We start from the raw sequence: 18,614 nt of genomic DNA on the forward strand, positions 1-18,614 counted from the left end.
TTGTATTTTTAGTAGAGACGGGGTTTCACCATATTGGCCAAGCTGGTCTCAAACTCCTGACCTCATGATCCACCTGCCTCAGCCTCCCAAAGTGTTGGGATTACAGGCATGAGCCACTGCGCCTGGCCACGGATATTTTAAAATAGCATCTAAGTGTTTCCCATGAATAGGTGGAGCTGAGTCTGAACACTGCTCCTCCCCAGTCACCCCACATCACTCCAAGTGCCAAGTTTCTTTTTTTTTTTTTTCTGAGATGGAATCTCACCTGTCGCCCAGGCTGGAGTGCAGTGGTGCAATCTTGTCTCACTGCAACCTCTGCCTCCCGGGTTCAAGCAATTCTCCTGCCTCAGCCTCCCAAGTAGCTGGGATTACAGGCGTGCACTATCATGCCCCGCTAATTTTGTATTTTTAGTACAGATGGGGTTTCACTATGTTGGCCAGGTTGGTCTCGAACTCCTGACCTCAGGTGATCCACCCGCCTCGGCCTCCCAAAGTGCTGGGATTACAGGTGTGAGCCACTGTGCCCGGCCAAGTTTCTTAAACAAGGTCCCACCTGAGCATTCACTTGGCAAAATCTTCCAGGGCTCTCACTGCCTATAGGCTGAAGCCCAGACTCTGCATGATGCTCCTGGCCTTTCAATTTGGATCCAGCCTCCTCTCATTGATGACACTAACGGCTAAGATTGGTGGAGCGGTTCATGTGACCCAGGCACTCTATTGAGAGCTTTACATGTTATCTCATTCAATTACCACCTAACCTTAGGAGATGATGTCTTAGCTCAGTTTCCTCATCTGTAAAATGGGACATTCCAAGAAAAGCATTAGGTACAGTGTCTGGTACACAGTTATCACTCAACCAATAGTAGCCATTACTGCATCTTCCCCGCTTTATTGATGAGAAAGTTGAGGATAAGGGAGGTTCAGTAACTTGCCCAAGACTACATACAACTCATTAATAAAGAAGTCTGGCTTCAGTGCCCAGGCTAGCCCACCTCTCACCCTGTCACTGAGGGCCCGTGCTCAACTCAGAGCCAACGTCTACAGCTCTCCTTGATGAGGTCTCCAGGTCTTTGCACATAGAATGGTTCCCTTCCTTCTCCTCCTGGAAAGCTTCCTCCCAGAGCCCCCTACCCGCTTGACACCCCGGGCAGGGCCACATACCCCAACTCTGCTCCCTTCAGCCTTCCTAACAAACCTCCCTACTCTCATCTCACCAAACTATCATCCTGATGGAGGGTGTGCCCCCCACTCAAAGCAACTGTGTCCTTCCCAGCTCTGGCTCCACTGTGCCTGGCTGGCACAGAGCAGACCTCTGTGTTCGTTGGATTTGTTGCGAGCCAAATCCATCACAGAGCCAAGCCAAGGGTGGAGAGCAATGCCTGCTGGCAGGACAGCCTGCCTGCTCCCAGCTGTCAGTGTGCACTCGGAGTGGACACTCGCACTTGCCTTTGGCCAGGGCCTCCTGGCCACTTGCCAGAACTTCCAGTCCCTTGGCCCTGGCTCTCCCTCTGCTCTGCAGCCTCCCCGCAAAGTTGGCCAGCAGGGGGTTCACACCTAAAGGGGCCTGGACCATCCACGGCATGAGTCCAGAAGATATCTCACCTTCTCAGTTCACTTCTTCAACAAGTATTTATTGAACGCCAACTATGGACCAGGCCCTGTGCTCAATGCTGGGTACAGAGTGGAGACTGAACCAGGCATGGCACCTGGCCTCATGAGCTTACACTCGAGTGGGAGGCACAGTCAACCAACAAGTAAATTACACAAATGGATATGCAGTGGCAAATTCTCCATGAAGGGAAAGAACAGAGGCCTTGTGATAGAGGAACTCCACAAGTAAAGTAGTCGAGGAAGGCCTCTTGGACGAGGCAACGTTGAAGCCAAGGCCTGAGGGTCTGCAGAACTCAGCCATGCACAGGGTAGGGGAAGAGCATTCTTGGCAAAGGGAACAGCATATGCAAAGTGCTGGAGGTGGGAACAAGGCTGGAATGTCGAGGAAATGAAGGAAGGGCAGGTGGCAGAAGCTCAGGGAGCAAGTCTGGGACTGGCAAGAAATGAGGCTGGAAATGAGGTTGGGACCAAAAGAAGACCTTTAGAACAATAGGGTAAGAGAGTGAGGTTTTCAAACTAAAGATGATACGATATGACCTGCAGCTTTCAATTTCTCTCTGCTGCTACTGAGAACTGATTGACAAAGCAAGAGGGAAGACCTTTCTGAGGCCAGGGCAGTGATCTGGGGGAGGTGATGTGGCCTGGCCAGGATGGCTGTGGGTGCAGACAGAAGTGGATGGACTCCAGAGATAGTTTAGAAGTAGAATCTACTGGAAGTTTCCAGAAGCACTAAAAAAATCTTTATTGGATGTCCGCAACAACCCATGCAATGGGGTAGGAGTTGGAGACACCAGGAAGGCTTGGGGATAGAAACACAAGATGCAAGTCCTTGACCACAGAATCAGATCACACAGTCACCTTTCCTTCCACAATATCCCAGGGACAATGAAAGCAAGTTCAACCAAGATGCTGAAAGAGCTGGATCATTCCCATCTCATTTCAGTGGCATCACAGATTCTTTGGAGTTGCATGCTTGCAACGTGGAAATGTGTTTCCCACAGCCCCACTAGGGATTCTCAGGCTAGGAAGTTGCCAAACTGCAAGACTACATCACTGACCTGGTATCCCAGGAGCAGCAGGAGAGGAGGAGGAGGAGGAGGAGTTGTCCTTGTTCCTGTCCTGAGTGGGCCCCTTCATGATAACGGGGAAACTGGCCTTTGCCTTCTGTTACCTCCTCTGTCCCTGTCCCCAATCCTGGGAGCATGTGTGAGTTCTGTCTTCCTTCTACCACAGTCTCCCCTCTGCCTCCCTCCGGAGCACTCCCTGCCAATGACCCACTCTCTAAAATGATCCCCCCTCTCCTTGCTACTGCACATCTCAGATGGGTCCAGGAGGACAGCAGTCTGATGGAATTAGCTCACACTAAAAAATGAAAGAGGTGCTTTCCTCTTTATCTCTCCTTGAGGAGTCTGTCTTTTCAAAAGAGCTTTCTGGGTCACTCAATGATCTCCTCCCTCTTATCCACTTCTTTGAAAGGGCCCTTTTCCCCAAGGTTTCTGCAAACTCACTTTTCAGTCTGTGGAGTCTCCTCAATGCAGCCTCTGGGGAGGGTGGTTCCATCAAAGGGAGGAGGTGGGAGAATCTTCCCAGGGGTGACAACTGAAGTATCTAACCAGTGTGGAATGAGCACCAGTGAACTGCTGGCTCTGGGACTCCACAGCCTTGGATCGGCCAGGCAGTAACCAGATCGTAGGAGTCCTGGGGGAAGTGCCAGGCGGTGGGGGGCACCTGGAGTCACTTGGGGGAGTAGATATTTACCAACGAGTACAGAAGGGTTTCTGCATTTTATCAACTGGTGTGGCAACACTGGTCCCACTGGGTGTCAGTCCAGGCTCCGCTGTTCTGCTGGGAACGACTGCTGGACCATTTGTTTCCTCTGTTAGAAAAAGTGGCCTAGGGTGGAGCCGGGGAATGAAATGGCTTCTGAGCAGAGCCAGCTCTGTGGAGTCCTGGTGAACAGGATCTCAGGCGCTCGACCCACTGCATGACCTTGAAGGGCCAAGGTGCCTCGAATCATCCTTTCTCTTGCCCCTCCTTGCAGTTATTTTTGTCCAGCCTGACAGTCCTTGGCTGTTCCAGCAGTCTGGGCTCTGTGAGCCGGATGCAAACCAGGCAGCACAGACGTCTGGTGCTGAATCCCAAGAGGTTCCTCTCTGCGCACCATCACATGGGGCCACGGCCCCTCTGCACTGTGCACCCAATGGGGAGGGACCACACGCCTGGAGGATGGCGACTGTAAGACGTGGGGGCTGGGCTCTCCATTGCTCAACCCTGGCTCCTGTCTGGGAGAGCTGTCCAAGGCCTGGTGTGAGGACACCCTGTCACAGAGTTTTGCTGCTGCCTAGAAACCTCCCAGCTGGGTTTACCAGGCCAGCTGTGTGCAGGGACCTGTTAGTCAGTGAGAGGGTGGGTGTCTGCTGCTGGGAGGAGGGTGGGAGCAGGCTCTGCTGGGCCCCCAGTCTCCAGGCCTTGGCTGTGGTGGAGAAAGGGTCTGTCCTGTGGTTCAGTGTGATGGTGTGGCCCAAGGACAGGTGGGAAGGGGCAGACAGGGTTCCCAGGAGACCTCTTTGTAGCCCCTGCTCAGTTACTATCTCCAGGAAGCGAGGCAGACACTATGTTCCAGCCTCTTGGCGTGGGAAGGCTGCAGCCAGTCAGTCATTGCTCCTGACTGGGGTCTGACCGCCCCAAGGAACAGCCTGCCTTGGGTCCTGGTGCCCTGCAGGTTAAAGCTTTTTCCCAGACCCAAGGTTCATGCCTGCTGCTGGTGTGCAGAGGGCAGGAGAGGGGTCTGGGCGGATCTCTGAGGGTCTCTCCCAGGACTCATCTGTTCAGGTGAGAAATGGAACCAAGCCTCTGAGACCAGAACAGCTCCAGGAGAGCTGGGTGGATAAGCTGGGATAACAGTGAGAAGGAGAGATGGGTTGGAGGAGGAGGGGGCCTCTGATGGCTGGAGAACGTGCCTTCACATATGAGCCAGTCCATGAAGCAAAGCAGAAAAGGCAGTGCCCTTTTTTGGGCTCCTGGTAAAAGAACCTTCCTTATTCCTTGGGGCGGGGTGGTGAAGGGGCAGCTCAGAAAGCCCCGATTTCAGTGATTTCAGAGACCCAGGAGTGGTAGAGCATGGCTCCCGCTGGCCTCCCAGCTGGCCCTGGGGAGGATGAGTTGGGGGTGGGAACAGCCACGTAAGCAGCCGACCCTGTAGGACCAGGGGGTGTTGGGGAGGAAGACTGCAGGAGGGGAGCGATGTGGCTGCTCCTGGCAGCCCTGCTGCTGGGGGCGACAGGCACAGGGGTCGCTGGCCTCTCTAGGGGGCGGGCCCTCCGGGTGGAAGATGCCCCTCGACTGGGCAGCACATTCCTCCGGGCTGGCAGGATGATGCCTGTGGCTCTGCGAAGGGGAGCGGTTCGGAGGGCTGGGATGGGGTAAGCAGGAGAGGAGACACCGGGGAGGACAGGGCTGGGCACTCTTCCCAGGATGGCGAGCTGGTTGCTCAGGGCTGGCAGCCCTGGACAGCTATGGAAGAAAGACCAGGGCCAGGCAGGGAAGGCCAAAGGGCCAGTGGGCGTGGGCGAAGGCTCCATCTCGGCTGCGTAGCTGTTGAGGTGGGAGAGAAGGCGAATCCGGACGGGGTCTGCACGGCTGCTGGGCCCTTCAAGGACCCCCAGGTACCTGATGACCTCAGTGAGGCACTCCCGAAAACCAATGCTCCGGAAGTCAACTGCCAGGGCTCGGGCATCAAAGAATCCTGCAAAGGGAGGCGTGATGAAGGTCATGCCAGGTGTGGGGAGAAGCATGGAGCCTGGGTCTGACTGTCTGAGTTCTGGACCTGCCTCCTCCACTCACTCCCTGGGCAGCCGTGGCCATGTCATCCTGCCTCTCTGAGCCTGTCTCCCCATCTGCAAAGTGAGAACAAAAATCCCTTCCTGGGGTGGAGGATGATGGGTTATAATGATCAATGAATTCACTAAACTATGAAGCATTATAAAATGTAAAATATTGCTTTCATCACAATTCATGATTAATGCAAAGAAAAAACTTTGTGGCCAAGATAACTTCATTGAAGTAGATACTTGACAGATATGAAAGGTTATGCACTTGGAGGTGTAGAACAACTCTGCCTGCTGAGAGGGGCAGATGCCCAGGAAGGGAGGTGGCGGCAGCAGCCATCAGAGTGAGGAGGCCCCTTGGAGAAGGCAGCGTAGTGTAGCAGTGAAGTGTGAGGTCGTCGGAAGCCAGGAGAGCTGGGTTCAAATCCTGGCTCTGCTACTTAACTAGCTGCCTGATTGTGGACAAGTCTCTTTATCTCTCTGTGCCTCAATTTCCTTAGCTGTAAAATGGGGATATAGCAGTGCCTACCGTATAGAGTTATGAGGGTGAAATTAAAATAGTGCACAGAAAATGCTGAATAAATGAAAAGTTAGCTATCACTTATATTACTGGCTTGGCCTTGTTGGCATCTGAGTTTGTCCCTTGGCTCAAAAGGCAATCTGGAAAGCAAGACCCCACTGTGATCCTCAGCTGCTGTTATCGGCCAGGGACCCTCTCTTTGATGGATAACCAGGTGAACTTCCTGTACAAATATTCACATCCTCACTGCCTCTCCATACCTGTTCCTCTCTTGACCACCTTCTGGGCAAAGACACAACAACCCCAGCCAGCACTGGTCTCATGACGATGGCAGCAAATATCTAGTCCTTGGTTCATGGCCCCCACAGAGGAACAGCTCAGCTGGAGACTATGTTTGGAGTCAGGTCAACTTGTGGGTGAGAACCAAATCTGCTATACACTTAGCCATGTAAGTTCAAGCAAATCCCTTCACCTTTCTGCGTTTGCTGTTCTTTTTTTCTTTTTTTATTTTTTTTGAGATGGAGTCTCGCTCTGTCCCCCAGGCTGGAGTGCAGTGGCACGATCTTGGCTCACTGAAATCTCCGCCTCCCAGGTTCAAGAGATTCTCCTGCCTTAGCCTCCAAAGTAGCTGGGATTACAGGCAACAGCCATCACAGCGACTAATTTTTGTATTTTTAGTAGAGACAGGGTTTCACCATGTTGGCCAGGTTGGTCTCGAACTCCTGACCTCAGGTGATCCGCCCACCTCGGCCTCCCAAAGTGTTGGGATTACAGGTGTGAGCCACTGCGCCTGGCCTTTGCTGTTCTTTTCTTTTTCTTTTTCTTTTATTTTTGAGACGGAGTCTCGCTCTGTCGCCCAGGCTAGAGTGCAGTGGTGCGATCTCGACTCACTGAAAGCTCCGCCTTCTGGGTTCATGCCATTCTCCTGCCTCAGCCTCCCGAGTAGCTGGGACTACAGGCGCCCACCACCACACCCGGCTGATTTCTTTTTTTGTATTTTTAGTAGAGATGGGGTTTCACCGTGTTAGCCAGGATGGTCTCGATCTCCTGACCTTGTGATCCGCCTGTTTCGGCCTCCTAAAGTGCTGGGACTACAGGCGTGAGCCACCGCGCCCGGCCCGCTGTTTTTTTCTAACATTTGCTGAATTCTTACTAAGCATTTCATCAAGTTATCTAATTTAATCCTCATAAAACCCTCTAATTATTCCCATTTTAGAGATGAGGAAACTGAGGAGGGGAGAGGTTAAATCATTTGTCTAAGGTCATACGGCTAGTAACCAGTAGAGCCCGATTCAAATCTAAAGCCTATACCGTGAACCACAGTTCTGTCTTCCCATTAGTTCACAGTCAGAAAATGGTGGTAACACTAACCCCCATCTTGCAGGTTCTTGTGAGAATCAAATGAAACAACACAAGTGAAAGCATTTTAAAACTGTCAAATGATATCCACATATTAGTCACTACTTTTCTTTTCACTGGATAACCATAAATGTAATTTGAATCTCCCCCATTGGTTCATTAGAGATGGAAGTCTCCACTCTTAGCAATGCATTTTTTTTGGCAGAAGTTCCCAAATGGACCACCTGCACCAGGATAATTGGGTGGCTTGTTAAACTTGCAAACTCCTAAACTTCAATCTAGACCTACTGCCTCAGAATCTCTGGGGGATGACTCCTGATTCTGCCTGCCCCAAGGTGACAATGGTATACACTGAGGCTTCAGAAGCACCAGAATGGGCCACTTAAAATGCTACTGTCCTCTTCTGTAGCAGTAAGTTAGGTCTCTGGAACTTAGGTCTTTGTGGCCAAGGCCTGTGGAGCTTTCAAGGTTTCCCAATTTTGAAATCACCAAATACACAGAGAAACTTTGAGTAGACAGAATTTCTATTTGTCTGGAAGTGTCTTTAAAGCCACTGTTCCCTTACTTTATTGTAACTGATGGGCTTAAAATAACAAAATGAGTTAATTTGTGTCCTGCTACAATCCTGAGACCTGTGGTGAGCATGATATGTCACCCCAGTTCTGCCAAGGACCCCACAGTAGCCCAGAAGGCTAGACCAGTGGGTAGGATACCAGGCTCCTCCCTGGGTTAAGGGGGGTCAGATTGGGATCCCAGTGAGAATTAGCTCATTCAGGTGAATTCTTAATGAGGTCCTGGGTTGGACAAGAGTGGGACCCATAGGAACAGTCTGTTACAGAAGAAAGCGCCTCCCAGGTCTAAGACTGGAGGGAGCTGAACTGAGGAAAAGGTTGCGACAAATGGAGACACTGAAAGTGGAGAGGGAGATGCTGAAAGGAGAGAGAGAAGCTTTGCAAATGTTCCCTCCATTGACTGAGCTCCTCAGAGTGGGCAGCGTGTGGACTTTGCTCACCAGCATATCCCCAGGGCCCAGCCTCAAAATATTTGTTGTATGAATGACGCCTGAAAGAGAAGAGCATGGGTACCTGTCCCACCAGTGGCATGGAGCATTTTCAAGTGATCCACCGTCATCTGCAAGACCTCGGCTTTCTCCAGCTTGGAAGAGCCCTGCGGGTACAGAAGACAGAAGGGTGGAGCCTGCAGCTGACCATGTAGCTGTGCGGTGTCATCAGCACTCACTGTCTCGATTTTCTCACCTTCCTCCCACTCCACTGCTGCCTGCAAATGGGCTTCTGCTTTGGCCAAGTTCTCCAAATCTAGAACATTCTTTTCAGTTCTCCTCTCAGACCATCTGTCCACTGTACAGCTGCCGATCATCTTTCCTGAAACCACTCCTCCCTTGACTTGCACGACACCACTGTTTCTGGGCTCTCCTTTCACCATGCCTCTTGATCTGCCGTCTCTTAACACAGTACTGTCCCTTCTGTGTCACTTCGCATTCTGCTGCTCCCTGCAGAGAGGCTTGTCACCTCCATGGCTTTAGCCACCATCCTCAGAATGCCTCTTAAACCAGCTCTTCAGGGAATCCAACTTCAGACTCAATGTGCCCAAGATCTAGCTCATCATCTTATCCCCAGACCACTTGTTCTTCCTCTTTTCTCTCTTGGGAAATGCTTCCTAAGCTTTCCAGGTGAAGCCTGAAGATCAGAGGCTCCATGGGAGTCCCTTGAGGGCAGATACTAGGTCTAGTTCATGGCTGGTCCTGTGATGGTTTTAGTGAACATCTGTGGGATGACTGACTTGTTCTCACCAGCATAAAGGAAGGCAGAGGACCCGTGACCTATGCCTTGGTGCATAGGGTGAGAATTTCTGAGGCTGAGTCCACTGTCTGATTCCCCGCTGTAGTTCCCCCACCTAACATGCTCAATGGTAGAGTGCTCACTCCCTGAGCAGCCTTTTCCACTTTCAAGTCACTCTAGAAATGTCTGTAGTGCAGAGGGATGAGGGCTTGAGAATCACACAGTCCTGTGCCCTGCTATTTACTAGCTGCGTGATCTGGTGTAAGTTACTTCACCTCTCTGTGCTTCAGTTTCTTTACCTGTGCCATGGGCATAATAATCCCTAACCTTTGGGATCATTTTGAGGAGTCAATTCAATGGGATGATAGACATAAAGACACCTGAGACACCTAAGTATAAATTTCCATTCCTTTTACCCTGGCCAGTGACAGATATTGGTAAATGATCACAGCATCTCAGGCAGCTGCTACCAATCAACAAGAGATGCCATGAGAAACGAACCTTATCTGCCACCCACACAGTATTTCCTCTAGCACAATCAGCAATGTCACATACCTGTTTCTCAAAGGCAGTGGGGACCAAGCGTCGCAATTCAGAAAGGCTACTGTTGATGCGGTCTCGACGCCGTTTCTCTATGATCTAAACAATCATGACAAGAAGTTACTCACAGGTGTGTCATCACAGTTTCCAAAGTGCCTTGATGGTCATCAACTCATATTTACCCACACAGTATTTTTGTGAGGGAGATCAATCTAGTCTTACTTTATGGTGGAGAAAACCAAGGCCCAGAGAAGGACAGTGATTTGCTTAAGGTCACACAGCAAGAAAGCGCAGAGCTGGGAGTACAACTCAGATCTCTTGTCTCGGTCTATAGGGGTGATATTCAAGATGTTTAACCACTGGTACAGCAGGGCACAGCCAATCACAATGAGGACACCAGCCACGGTGCTGGAGCAGGCCCTGGAGGCCCGTGCTGGGCCAGGAGGGTGACCCCGTCATCTGTGAGGTCATGAGATGGTTTGGGGAGTCCCACGTGTTGCTCTCTCTAGCTGCAGGGCCCTTCCACCCACACACTCTCATTCTTCCCTCCAATACTGGTAGCAGAACACCGGGAGCAGGACAGATATGACCCCATTTTACAGATAAGGAAAATGAGGGCTGGAAGGAAGTGGTTTGCCTAAGGGCTTACAGTCAGTGAGTGTCAGGCTGCTCTCTGCCAGACCCCAGGTGTCTGGACTCCCAGTGCAGAAACACAGCTGCATCCTGGGAGGAAAGTGGGGCTGAACATGATGGACAGATGACAGCGGCAAGTGGGGATCCTTCTTCTGTCCCCTCCCCCACCCCGGCACACTGAGGGGGATGAAAGTTCTGGACTCAGAGAGGAGACAGAAGATAGGAACAACAATCATAATGGCCTATTGTGTGTCTGCTATTGTTTAGAGCATTACATTAATGCACTTAATCTGTAAAGCAGCCCTTTGAGGTGGGCCCTCTCATTATTCCAGTTACACAAAGGAGCAAATCAGGCTCAGAGAGGTTAACAGGCTTGCCTGGAATCACCCTGATAGCTAGTGACAGAGCCGGGATTTGAACCCAAGCAGTTAGCTTCATGGTGAAATTTCTGCCTAGGGTTCTCCCCGCCGCCAGACTGCAGGGGATTCATGGCAACCCTTTGTTGGTCAACTCAGAGGCTGAGACGGACACTCACCCCTCTGTGTTTCTTCCTGGCTTGCATCTGCGAAGAGCTGGGGGTGGACAGCGGCCTGGCCATCTGGCTGGAAAGGAAAAGAAAAGCTGATTTTTCAGGGCTGGGGGACAGTCTCCCCGGCCTGGGCCGACCTCGGGCCAGGAGGAGCCACAGGCTGGGCCTAGAAGGAGCAGCTTGCTCTCCCCTTCTTCCTGGGGGCTCATTTCAACCCGGGTCAAGTCCTCTCATGCACTCTGGGCCCACTTTGGGCTCTTGGTCCGGACCTGCTCGGCCTCGCCCTTCGCCCCTCGCTCCTCGCTCCTCGCCCCTCGCGGCGGCCGTCGGGGAACCGCGTACCGCGGCGCGGTGGCTCCGGCTCCTGCAACCCGATCCCCGGGGGCGGGGCGGGCGAGGGCACTGGCCGGCGGCGGCGGGGCTGGGCCGGGCGGGTTGGGTTTCAGAGGGAGCCGCTGGGAACGAGCGTGGAAAGAGCAGATGCCGCTGCTTCCCACGGGCCGGGCGCGCCGGCCGCCCGCCCTCCGCCCCGCCTGCAGCTGCCGCCTCCTCCCACGCGGTGCGGCCGGGGGCGAAGGGGAGGCGGCATCTGGGTCACAGGCCCCTCTCGGATGCTCTGGGACACTGCCCTGGCCTCCCAGAAGGCCCCGTCCCTCCAACCTCGGCCTCTCCTCCCACTCCGGGCCTTCCCTCTGCGCCCCGGTTGAATGATGGATGTTTGCTCACACCCCAGGAGCTCCCATTACAGAGAAGAGGCTCAGCCCTGGGGGGGCTTTTCCTGCCCAGACTCTGACCAAAATAATCTCCAGCCCAACTGCTAACCCTTCTTCAGGTTTTCTGCTTCAGAAGCTCTCTTAGAATGGTGAGGATTCGCTGGGTCCACTGAGGCATCATTCATTTGGCCAACACTTCTAAGGCCCTATTCAGGCCTGGGTGGGTGCTGGTGCACTCAGCCAGACCCCAGCCCTTCCCTTCCTCAACTCAGCTCCAGTGGGCAGACACTGCACCAACAAACAACAAACAAGGTGACTCCCCTGCCGTTTCAGAAGACACAACGCCACACATCTGAACAGGAATCTGCAAGCTGGCCTTCACCCACACCTGCTCCTGCTGCCCCTGGGTTTCCCCATCTCAGTGAAGGTACCCCAGTTCTGCAAGGTGGAAAGCTGATGCTGTCTTTGATTCCTCCTCCTCCTCACCCCCACCTCATCAAAACCTGCCCACGCTATGTCTAAAATATATCTCACGTCTGTCCTCTTCCTCTCCGCCACTTCTCTCAATGCTACGCCTTTATCATCTTTCATCTGGGTGACTGCAAGAGCTTCTTGTTGGGTCCTTTTACACCCTCTTTTACTCTCTACAAGCCTATCTCCACACTGCAGGCAGAGTGATCATTGAAATCTGATCATATCACTCACTTAAAACTCCTCAGTGGCTCCCCAACTTTTGTTTGTTTGTTTTGGGTTTTTTTTAGATGTAGTCTCACTCTGTTGCCCAGGCTGGAGTGCACTGGCATGATCTTGGCTCACTACAACCTCCGCCACCCGGTTCAAGTAATTCTCCTGCCTCAGCCTCCGAAATAGCTGGGATTACAGGCACCCACCACCACGTCCAGCTAATTTTTGTATTTTTAGTAGAGACGGGGTTTCACCATGTTGGCCAGGATGGTCTTGAACTCCTGACCTCAGGTGATCTGCCCGCCTTGGCCTCCCAAAGTGCTGGGATTACAGGCATGAGCCACCATGGCTGGCCCCAATGTTTTTTAAGATCAAGGCCACCATCTTTCAGGTGGTCCAACTGGCCCCTGTCAACCCCTCTAGACTCAACCGTCTTCTTCTGTATGCCCCAGCCTATGAATGCACCAACTCCTTCATTCAGTTGCATGCACTGTCCCCTAGCCTAGGTCCACCATCTTTGGTTCACCCATCACCCCAAGCCCCAGTCCCTTTGCCCCATAACTTCTACAACCCATCAGATCTCAACTCAGATGGCACCTCCCTGGGGAGCCTTTTCTAACATTCCTCCTCCCACTAGTGTCCCCTGCTCAATACTCTCCTAGCACCCTGCTTTCACAGCATTTATGCCAGTTCATTGTTTTATATTTATATGGTTATTTGATTGATGTCTATCTCTCCAACAAATCCATAAGCTCCATGAGGCCATGAACCATGTCTGTTACATTCACTATTGCAGCTTCAGTACTCAGCAAGGGCTTGGAATACAGCAGAACTCATGGTAGAGCTTTCTTCTCTCACCCATGTCTTTGGCATCACTGGGGAACAGAGATGTAAGCACCATAAAATCTATGGCCTAGGACTTTGTGGAATGGGGGCGTATATGACTTAACACAAGGGTCCCAGCCCAAGGGTCCCAACCCTTTTGGCATTTGAATTTGGATCATTTTCATCAACTGCTCAGAGAAGGTTGCAGAAGAGACCAGATAGCATTTGTCAAATCCTACTGCTATGTCTCTGGCTTTGTCCAGACACATCTGGAAAAGGATATCTCCCACCCAAACATCTGGACAAGCCGACCTGGTAAGAGGTCTATAATAGCTCCTGGGAGGGAGGACCCAGCAAGCTAGGTCCAGGGCTTGTAAGGCCAGATCTTGAGATCTATGGGGCAGCTTGTTTACAAAGCCTCACTGGTTCACTGGGGACAAACCCCAAGAGCCAAGACACACTAAGAAACACGGCCTTTGTTCCCCCCAGCTTGATAAAGCGTCTTTCCGGGTATTAGGTTAGCCTTGCACACGTCACTGCCTCTCAGCCTGATCCCTCCGCTGGGACCATCTGTTGGAGGCTGACGCACCCATTTCAGGGCAAAGCAGTGCTGCCATTCCTTTTTCCAATCTCCTGGTCAGCTTGTCCCTGTCGTATTATTTCCCCCCTTCTCCTCTTCCCATATCTCAGAGGCAAACCTCACATTACAGTTTTCTTGGCAACATTATATGTCTTTCCCTCCTTTGAGCCTTACAAAAGCCCATATTACAGATGAGGTTGCTGAGCTTCAGGGAGCTAAAGCAGGTTGCCCAGCCTACCCAGCTGCTAAGGAGCAAAGCCAGCAGGGAATCCGCATCTTCTGGCTCCGCTTCAGCATTTTTTCCCTTCTAATTCCTACTTCCTGTCTGTCTGAATAGCCCTCCGGTCCCCTTATTTTTAAAGTTCCCAAGAGCCCAGCCAGAGCTCCCTTCCAGCCCGCGATCTGGCCCTGACAGTGGGATGAGGTGTGGGATTCTCTTGTCTGAGAATCTGAAAATGACACAGATTTTCATGGACCCAGAGAAGATATGTTGACCATCAAGATCTGCTCCATAGGCCTCTAGTGGCTCCTAGCCAGAATTCTGGGGCGGTCTCTTATGGGGGGAAGCTTTCCAGGTGGTCCTGACCACCCTCAGTGCTGACTTCCCCTGGGAACTCCCCCGTGGAACCCTTGCAGATGACCCTAATCATTTTGTGTCAGCCAAAGGCAGAATCACAATGTCCCAAATGAAGGAATCTCAGAGAGAACTGAGTCCATTTGTAAAATAAGGAAACTCAGAGGGGAAGGGATCTTCCCCAGGCCACACAGCAAATTAGAGGAAAATCGGAACTACAGCCAGGTCTACTCTAGTAGCTTTTTTTTTTTTTTCTTTTCTTTTTTGAGACAGAGTCTTACTCTGTCACCCAGGCTGGAGTGCAGTGGCACAATCTCAGCTCACTGCAACCTCCGCCTCCCAGGTTCAAGTGATTCTCCTGTCTCAGCCTTCCAAGTAACTGGGACTACAGGCACGTGTCACCATGCCCAGCTAATTTTTTGTATTTTTAGTAGAGATGGGGTTTCACCATATTAGCCAGGATGGTCTCGATCTCTTGACCTCGTGATCCACCCACCTCAGCCTCCCAAAGTGCTGGGATTACAGGCGTGAGCCACCGTGCCCGGCCTCTAGTGGCTTTTAATCTGGGGCTTTTGCCAGTGCACCCCATATATACATCATCCCGTCATGTAGATCTCAGAGCCAGTGCTTTTTGTTCTATACTGCACTTCCACATCCATTTGTCTAATTTATTGCACAATAGCACTGTAAGTGAAGTATTTTTTGGGCCATTTCACATTTAGGAAAAATAATCATTTTACAGGTGGAGTGACAGAGACACTGGAGTTAAGAATCACTCCAGTAAGTCCAGTCTTCACACTTCCGGTCTTTTCATTAGACCATGCTGTCTCATAAATATGTTGCCCCCCAACTGAATGGTGACCGCTTTGACAGCAACGTTTATTGGAAGTTACTTTGTGCCAAAGCAGGGAGCTATGTAACTTTATGTATGTTACTTCATCAAACCTTATCCTGCGAGGCAGGAGTGCTAATGTATTCCCATTTTGAACGCGAGAAAACTGAGGTTCAGAAAGGGGTAAAAGTCACTGGCCAAAGTTAATGGTGGTAAAATTCAAACTCAGGTCTATCTGACTCCAAGACCACCACCTTATATTGTGCAGGAACAGGACCCTGATCCAGTGTCTGACATGTGGCAGGTGCTCATTAGATGTTTGCAGAGGGAGAGGAGAGGCTGTACTCTCAGTTTGGACTCATCCTGCGTCATGGGGCCAGGTTGAGATGAGAGCTCTGTGGGTGAGTTTCACAGATGTGGCAGGACTGCCACCAGGCAGATGCCACAGTGATGGTGGAACACACCCTGCTCTTTACTCTCACGTTTCTGAGTGTGGGGGTTTTGCGCCCTGCCCCTGACCCCGAGAGGCTGGCTGCCTCCGTCCTGCGGCCTTTGTCAGTGTTTATCTGCTTTCTTTGTACATGAAGCTCTTCTTCCCTGAGAGTTCCCTGAGGGCAGAGGCTGAGCAGGATACATCTGGGCCCCCTATGCCCAGCCCAGGGTCTGGGCCACAGCAGGCATCGTTCAGTGCTCCCTGAATTGAAGCATTGATGTCTGCTGGGGGAAGGGCCCTTTGGTGAGTGCTACAAAGGGGCATCTATAAGTCAGCCTCTGCCAGATGTCCAGCTGCTTTCTCTCCTCAGAGGGGTCTGCTCCTCTAAGAACAGTGTCTAAAAATGGGCTCTGTATATATAGGAAATGCTGTATGTATAGGAAAAAACTGCCCACTGATCCTTTATGCCTCATGTAAGCAGTTGCCCAGATGCTACTATCTTCAAGAAGCCCTCCTTGCCATCTTTGATTAAGAGTGACCTCTCTTTGCTTAAGTGCCCTCACAGCCCACAGTCTGTCTCCTTTCCATCCTGTCCATGGTGTTTTTATGACCTGGCAGGTCACTGACTGGGCTGCAAACTTGTGGAGGACAGAAGCCAGCTCTGATCAACCTAGTTCTCTGGCATCAATTTTGTGCCTCTGATCTATGAAGACCCAATGCCATTGAATTTGAGACCCCGCTCCACCACCACCACGTGGTGCTGTGCCCTTTCCTGGCCCTTAACAGGCACAGGCTAAGATAACTGCTTTTCTAAATAGCAGTTTCTGCTAAACAATTAAGAAAGGCTAATACGTTGCATAGCGAGTTGTGTTATACTCCCTAAAAACAAATGTACAGGCTGCAAGAGGAATATCTATTATGGCATTTTCCTGGGATTTGAGACTGAGGCAGGATCCTTGGATCTCAGAAAACTGGAGAGCACTAAAATTACAAAATGTCCTCAAAAACATCCCTAAGAATTAACTGGGCCTGGCTCACTGGCTTATGTCTGTAATCCCAACACTTTGGGAGGCCAAGGCAGGAGGATCACTTAAGCCCAGGAGATCAAGGTTGCCATGAGCTATGATCATGCCACTGCACTCCAGCATGGGCAACAGAGTGAGACCATGTCAAAAAGAAAGAAAGAAAGAATTAACTGAATTCCCCTCCAATTCTGTTCTAGAGAGTCAAGTCTAGATGAGCCAAGAGAGATGAAGTATATCCCTTTCTTTTCCACTGCTGTCTTTGTTTTACTGATGGGGAAACTGATGACAGACTCTGTCAGGGAAACCAATGGCCCAAGACCACATAGTGAGTTGGTGGCAGATTTGGGGCTGGGACCCAGGTCTGCAGACTCCCAGTCAGCCCTGCAGCTCTTTCAGGGTGCTGGGAATCACATGGTGTGTACCTAGGCATGTGCTGTGCTAAGCCCTTGACATACTTTGCCTCATTTGGTTTTCCCAATATTTCCATGAAGTTGGTTCTATTATTCATGCTCATTTAACAGATAAGGAAACTGAAGCTTAGACAGTTTACAGAACTGCGAGGTAGCAGAACTATACAAGCGCAGTTTGTTCGACAGGTTTGAAGCAGGTCAGACTATCTACCAGGAGCTGAAAGACACTGGCAGTATGGGGGCACGATAGGAGGAACATTGGAATTAGAGTCTAGGCCCTTGCAAGTCGCTTATTATTTTCTTCAATACTAAGTCCCTAAATCCAAACTCCAATTTGCTCAAAGGAGGACAAATTTTCTTCTTCCTGAAATAATTTGTGGACTACATGAAAACTGCATCCAAACTAGGGTAAAATTGGGAAAGGATGGGGTTACTCTGCATCGTCAGCAGATTCCAGACAGGGGCCAGAGTACCATCAGTCTATGAGAGTTTTCTAAGATCTCCAGGGAAAACCTGCCAATGGCCTCCCCTAGGCCACTTCAACAGATAGATGATAACCCACTAGCCACCTGATCCCCCGAGCTGAACTCTCCCTCCCTGCCAGCATCCCCAGCCCTGCACGACCGAGAGCGCGCAGGATCCAGGCACTCGTGCGTGTAACGGCACGGCCCGCACACGCCCCCTACGCCGACACCTGTGGCCCCCGCGCTCACCTGCCTCTGCCCAGGCGGTGCTGGAGGGCTGGCCCGCCTGCTCGGCGAGCCCGTCGGGCCGACCCCCACCCCGCTCGCCCTCCGCCTGCTCGGTCCCCGCATCCCGGCCCTTACCTCAGCTGGCCCTCTTGGCCCACGTCGATGGGTCCGTCGGACTCCCCGTCGGAGCCGCTCGGCTCCTTGGGTCGCTTCATGGCGAACGCAGGCTGCCTGGTCTCAGCCCCGCGGCTAAGGCTCCCAGTCGGGAAGTCAGGCCCCGCCCCGGCCCCGCCCCGGCCCCGCCTCGGGGGCGCCGCCACCGCCCTTTCCCAGGGCCCTTTCCTGCGCCGCAGCTCCGGGCGCCCAGGCGCCCCCTCGCCCCCGCGGTGACGCGCCGCCGAGCCGTGGGAAGGCCCTAGGCGGTCGCCGCCTTCATCGACGGCTGGGAGGTCCGGCTCTGCTCCGCTGTCTCGGCTGCCGCGCGCTGGGTGGCCTTGGGCAGGTGCCCTGGGAGGCCCCGCGGGGAAGCCAGGAGTCCCCGTCTGTCCCTGGGTCGCCTGGGCGCTGCTGGCCTGTAGAGGCGCCGCTTCGATGCCCGGGATTCCGCAAGGGTCAACCCTGCGCGCTCCTGCCTCCTGGTGTTCTGGAGGCAGCAGACACATCAAGTTTGTCGAAGTTAGTCGTGGTGGTTGTGGCCTGATCCTCAGCAAGAATTCCCCAGCAGCAACTCCATAGGGGCCCAAAGCAAGTGGAATAGTGTGGTGGGGGCAAGGGGAAGACACTTACACTTCTGAGAGGTGGCAGTCACCCCCAAAAGGGACGGCTGAAGTTGTGGCCACCGCATCTGAGAAAGCTGGGCTCTGGCCGAGGTCCCTAAAGGCCTGGCGTGGTGGCAGTGGTGGGTTGTCCCTGGGAATCAGTTCCCAGTTCACCAGAGGTCGAGTTGTCCTGGGCGGCCAGGAGGCCAGGAAAGGGCTCCTTCTAGACGCTATGGCAGGGCCTCAAAGTGGGAGAAGGAGAGGAAAAGG

At 52.3% G+C, this 18,614-nt stretch overlaps 1 protein-coding gene across 2 annotated transcripts, besides 2 other annotated features; it reads right to left on the reverse strand.

Annotated features, from left to right (window-relative positions):
* Positions 1–1,610: 1,610 nt before the first annotated feature.
* Positions 1,611–17,819, reverse strand: HEYL (hes related family bHLH transcription factor with YRPW motif like). Of its 2 annotated transcripts, none has more exons than NM_014571.4 (5): positions 17,722–17,819; positions 10,825–10,891; positions 9,672–9,755; positions 8,403–8,484; positions 1,611–5,356 (listed from the first exon to the last, which is right to left on the reverse strand). In NM_014571.4, the coding sequence occupies exons 1-5, from the start codon at positions 17,799–17,801 to the stop codon at positions 4,683–4,685; spliced, it is 987 nt and encodes a 328-aa protein (NP_055386.2). In that variant the 5' UTR covers positions 17,802–17,819; the 3' UTR covers positions 1,611–4,682. The 2 variants fall into 2 exon arrangements, with proteins under 2 accessions (NP_055386.2, XP_005270802.1); XM_005270745.4 differs by lacking the exon at positions 17,722–17,819 and adding an exon at positions 11,088–11,191.
* Positions 17,596–17,665: a silencer, noted in NCBI's record as "silent region_706". NCBI's record gives its function as "represses an Ori minimal core promoter by ATAC-STARR-seq in GM12878 lymphoblastoid cells {active_cell/tissue: GM12878}" and the evidence as "EXISTENCE:reporter gene assay evidence [ECO:0000049][PMID:35858748]".
* Positions 17,786–18,175: a silencer, noted in NCBI's record as "silent region_707". NCBI's record gives its function as "represses an Ori minimal core promoter by ATAC-STARR-seq in GM12878 lymphoblastoid cells {active_cell/tissue: GM12878}" and the evidence as "EXISTENCE:reporter gene assay evidence [ECO:0000049][PMID:35858748]".

Source organism: Homo sapiens, chromosome 1 (assembly GCF_000001405.40).
Source record: "Homo sapiens chromosome 1, GRCh38.p14 Primary Assembly".
NCBI lineage: Eukaryota > Metazoa > Chordata > Mammalia > Primates > Hominidae > Homo > Homo sapiens.

What these genes read in the sequence shown, in the direction of transcription:
- HEYL (NM_014571.4), bottom strand. Translation starts at nt 17,801, where the DNA reads ATGAAGCGACCCAAGGAGCCGAGCGGCTCCGACGGGGAGTCCGACGGA. An exon ending in CCAGGAAGAAACACAGAGGG is followed by an intron (nt 9,756 to 10,824) that starts GTGAGTGTCCGT and finishes ATGATTGTTTAG; the next exon opens with ATCATAGAGAAACGGCGTCG. An exon ending in CCACTGCCTTTGAGAAACAG is followed by an intron (nt 8,485 to 9,671) that starts GTATGTGACATT and finishes CTGTACCCGCAG; the next exon opens with GGCTCTTCCAAGCTGGAGAA.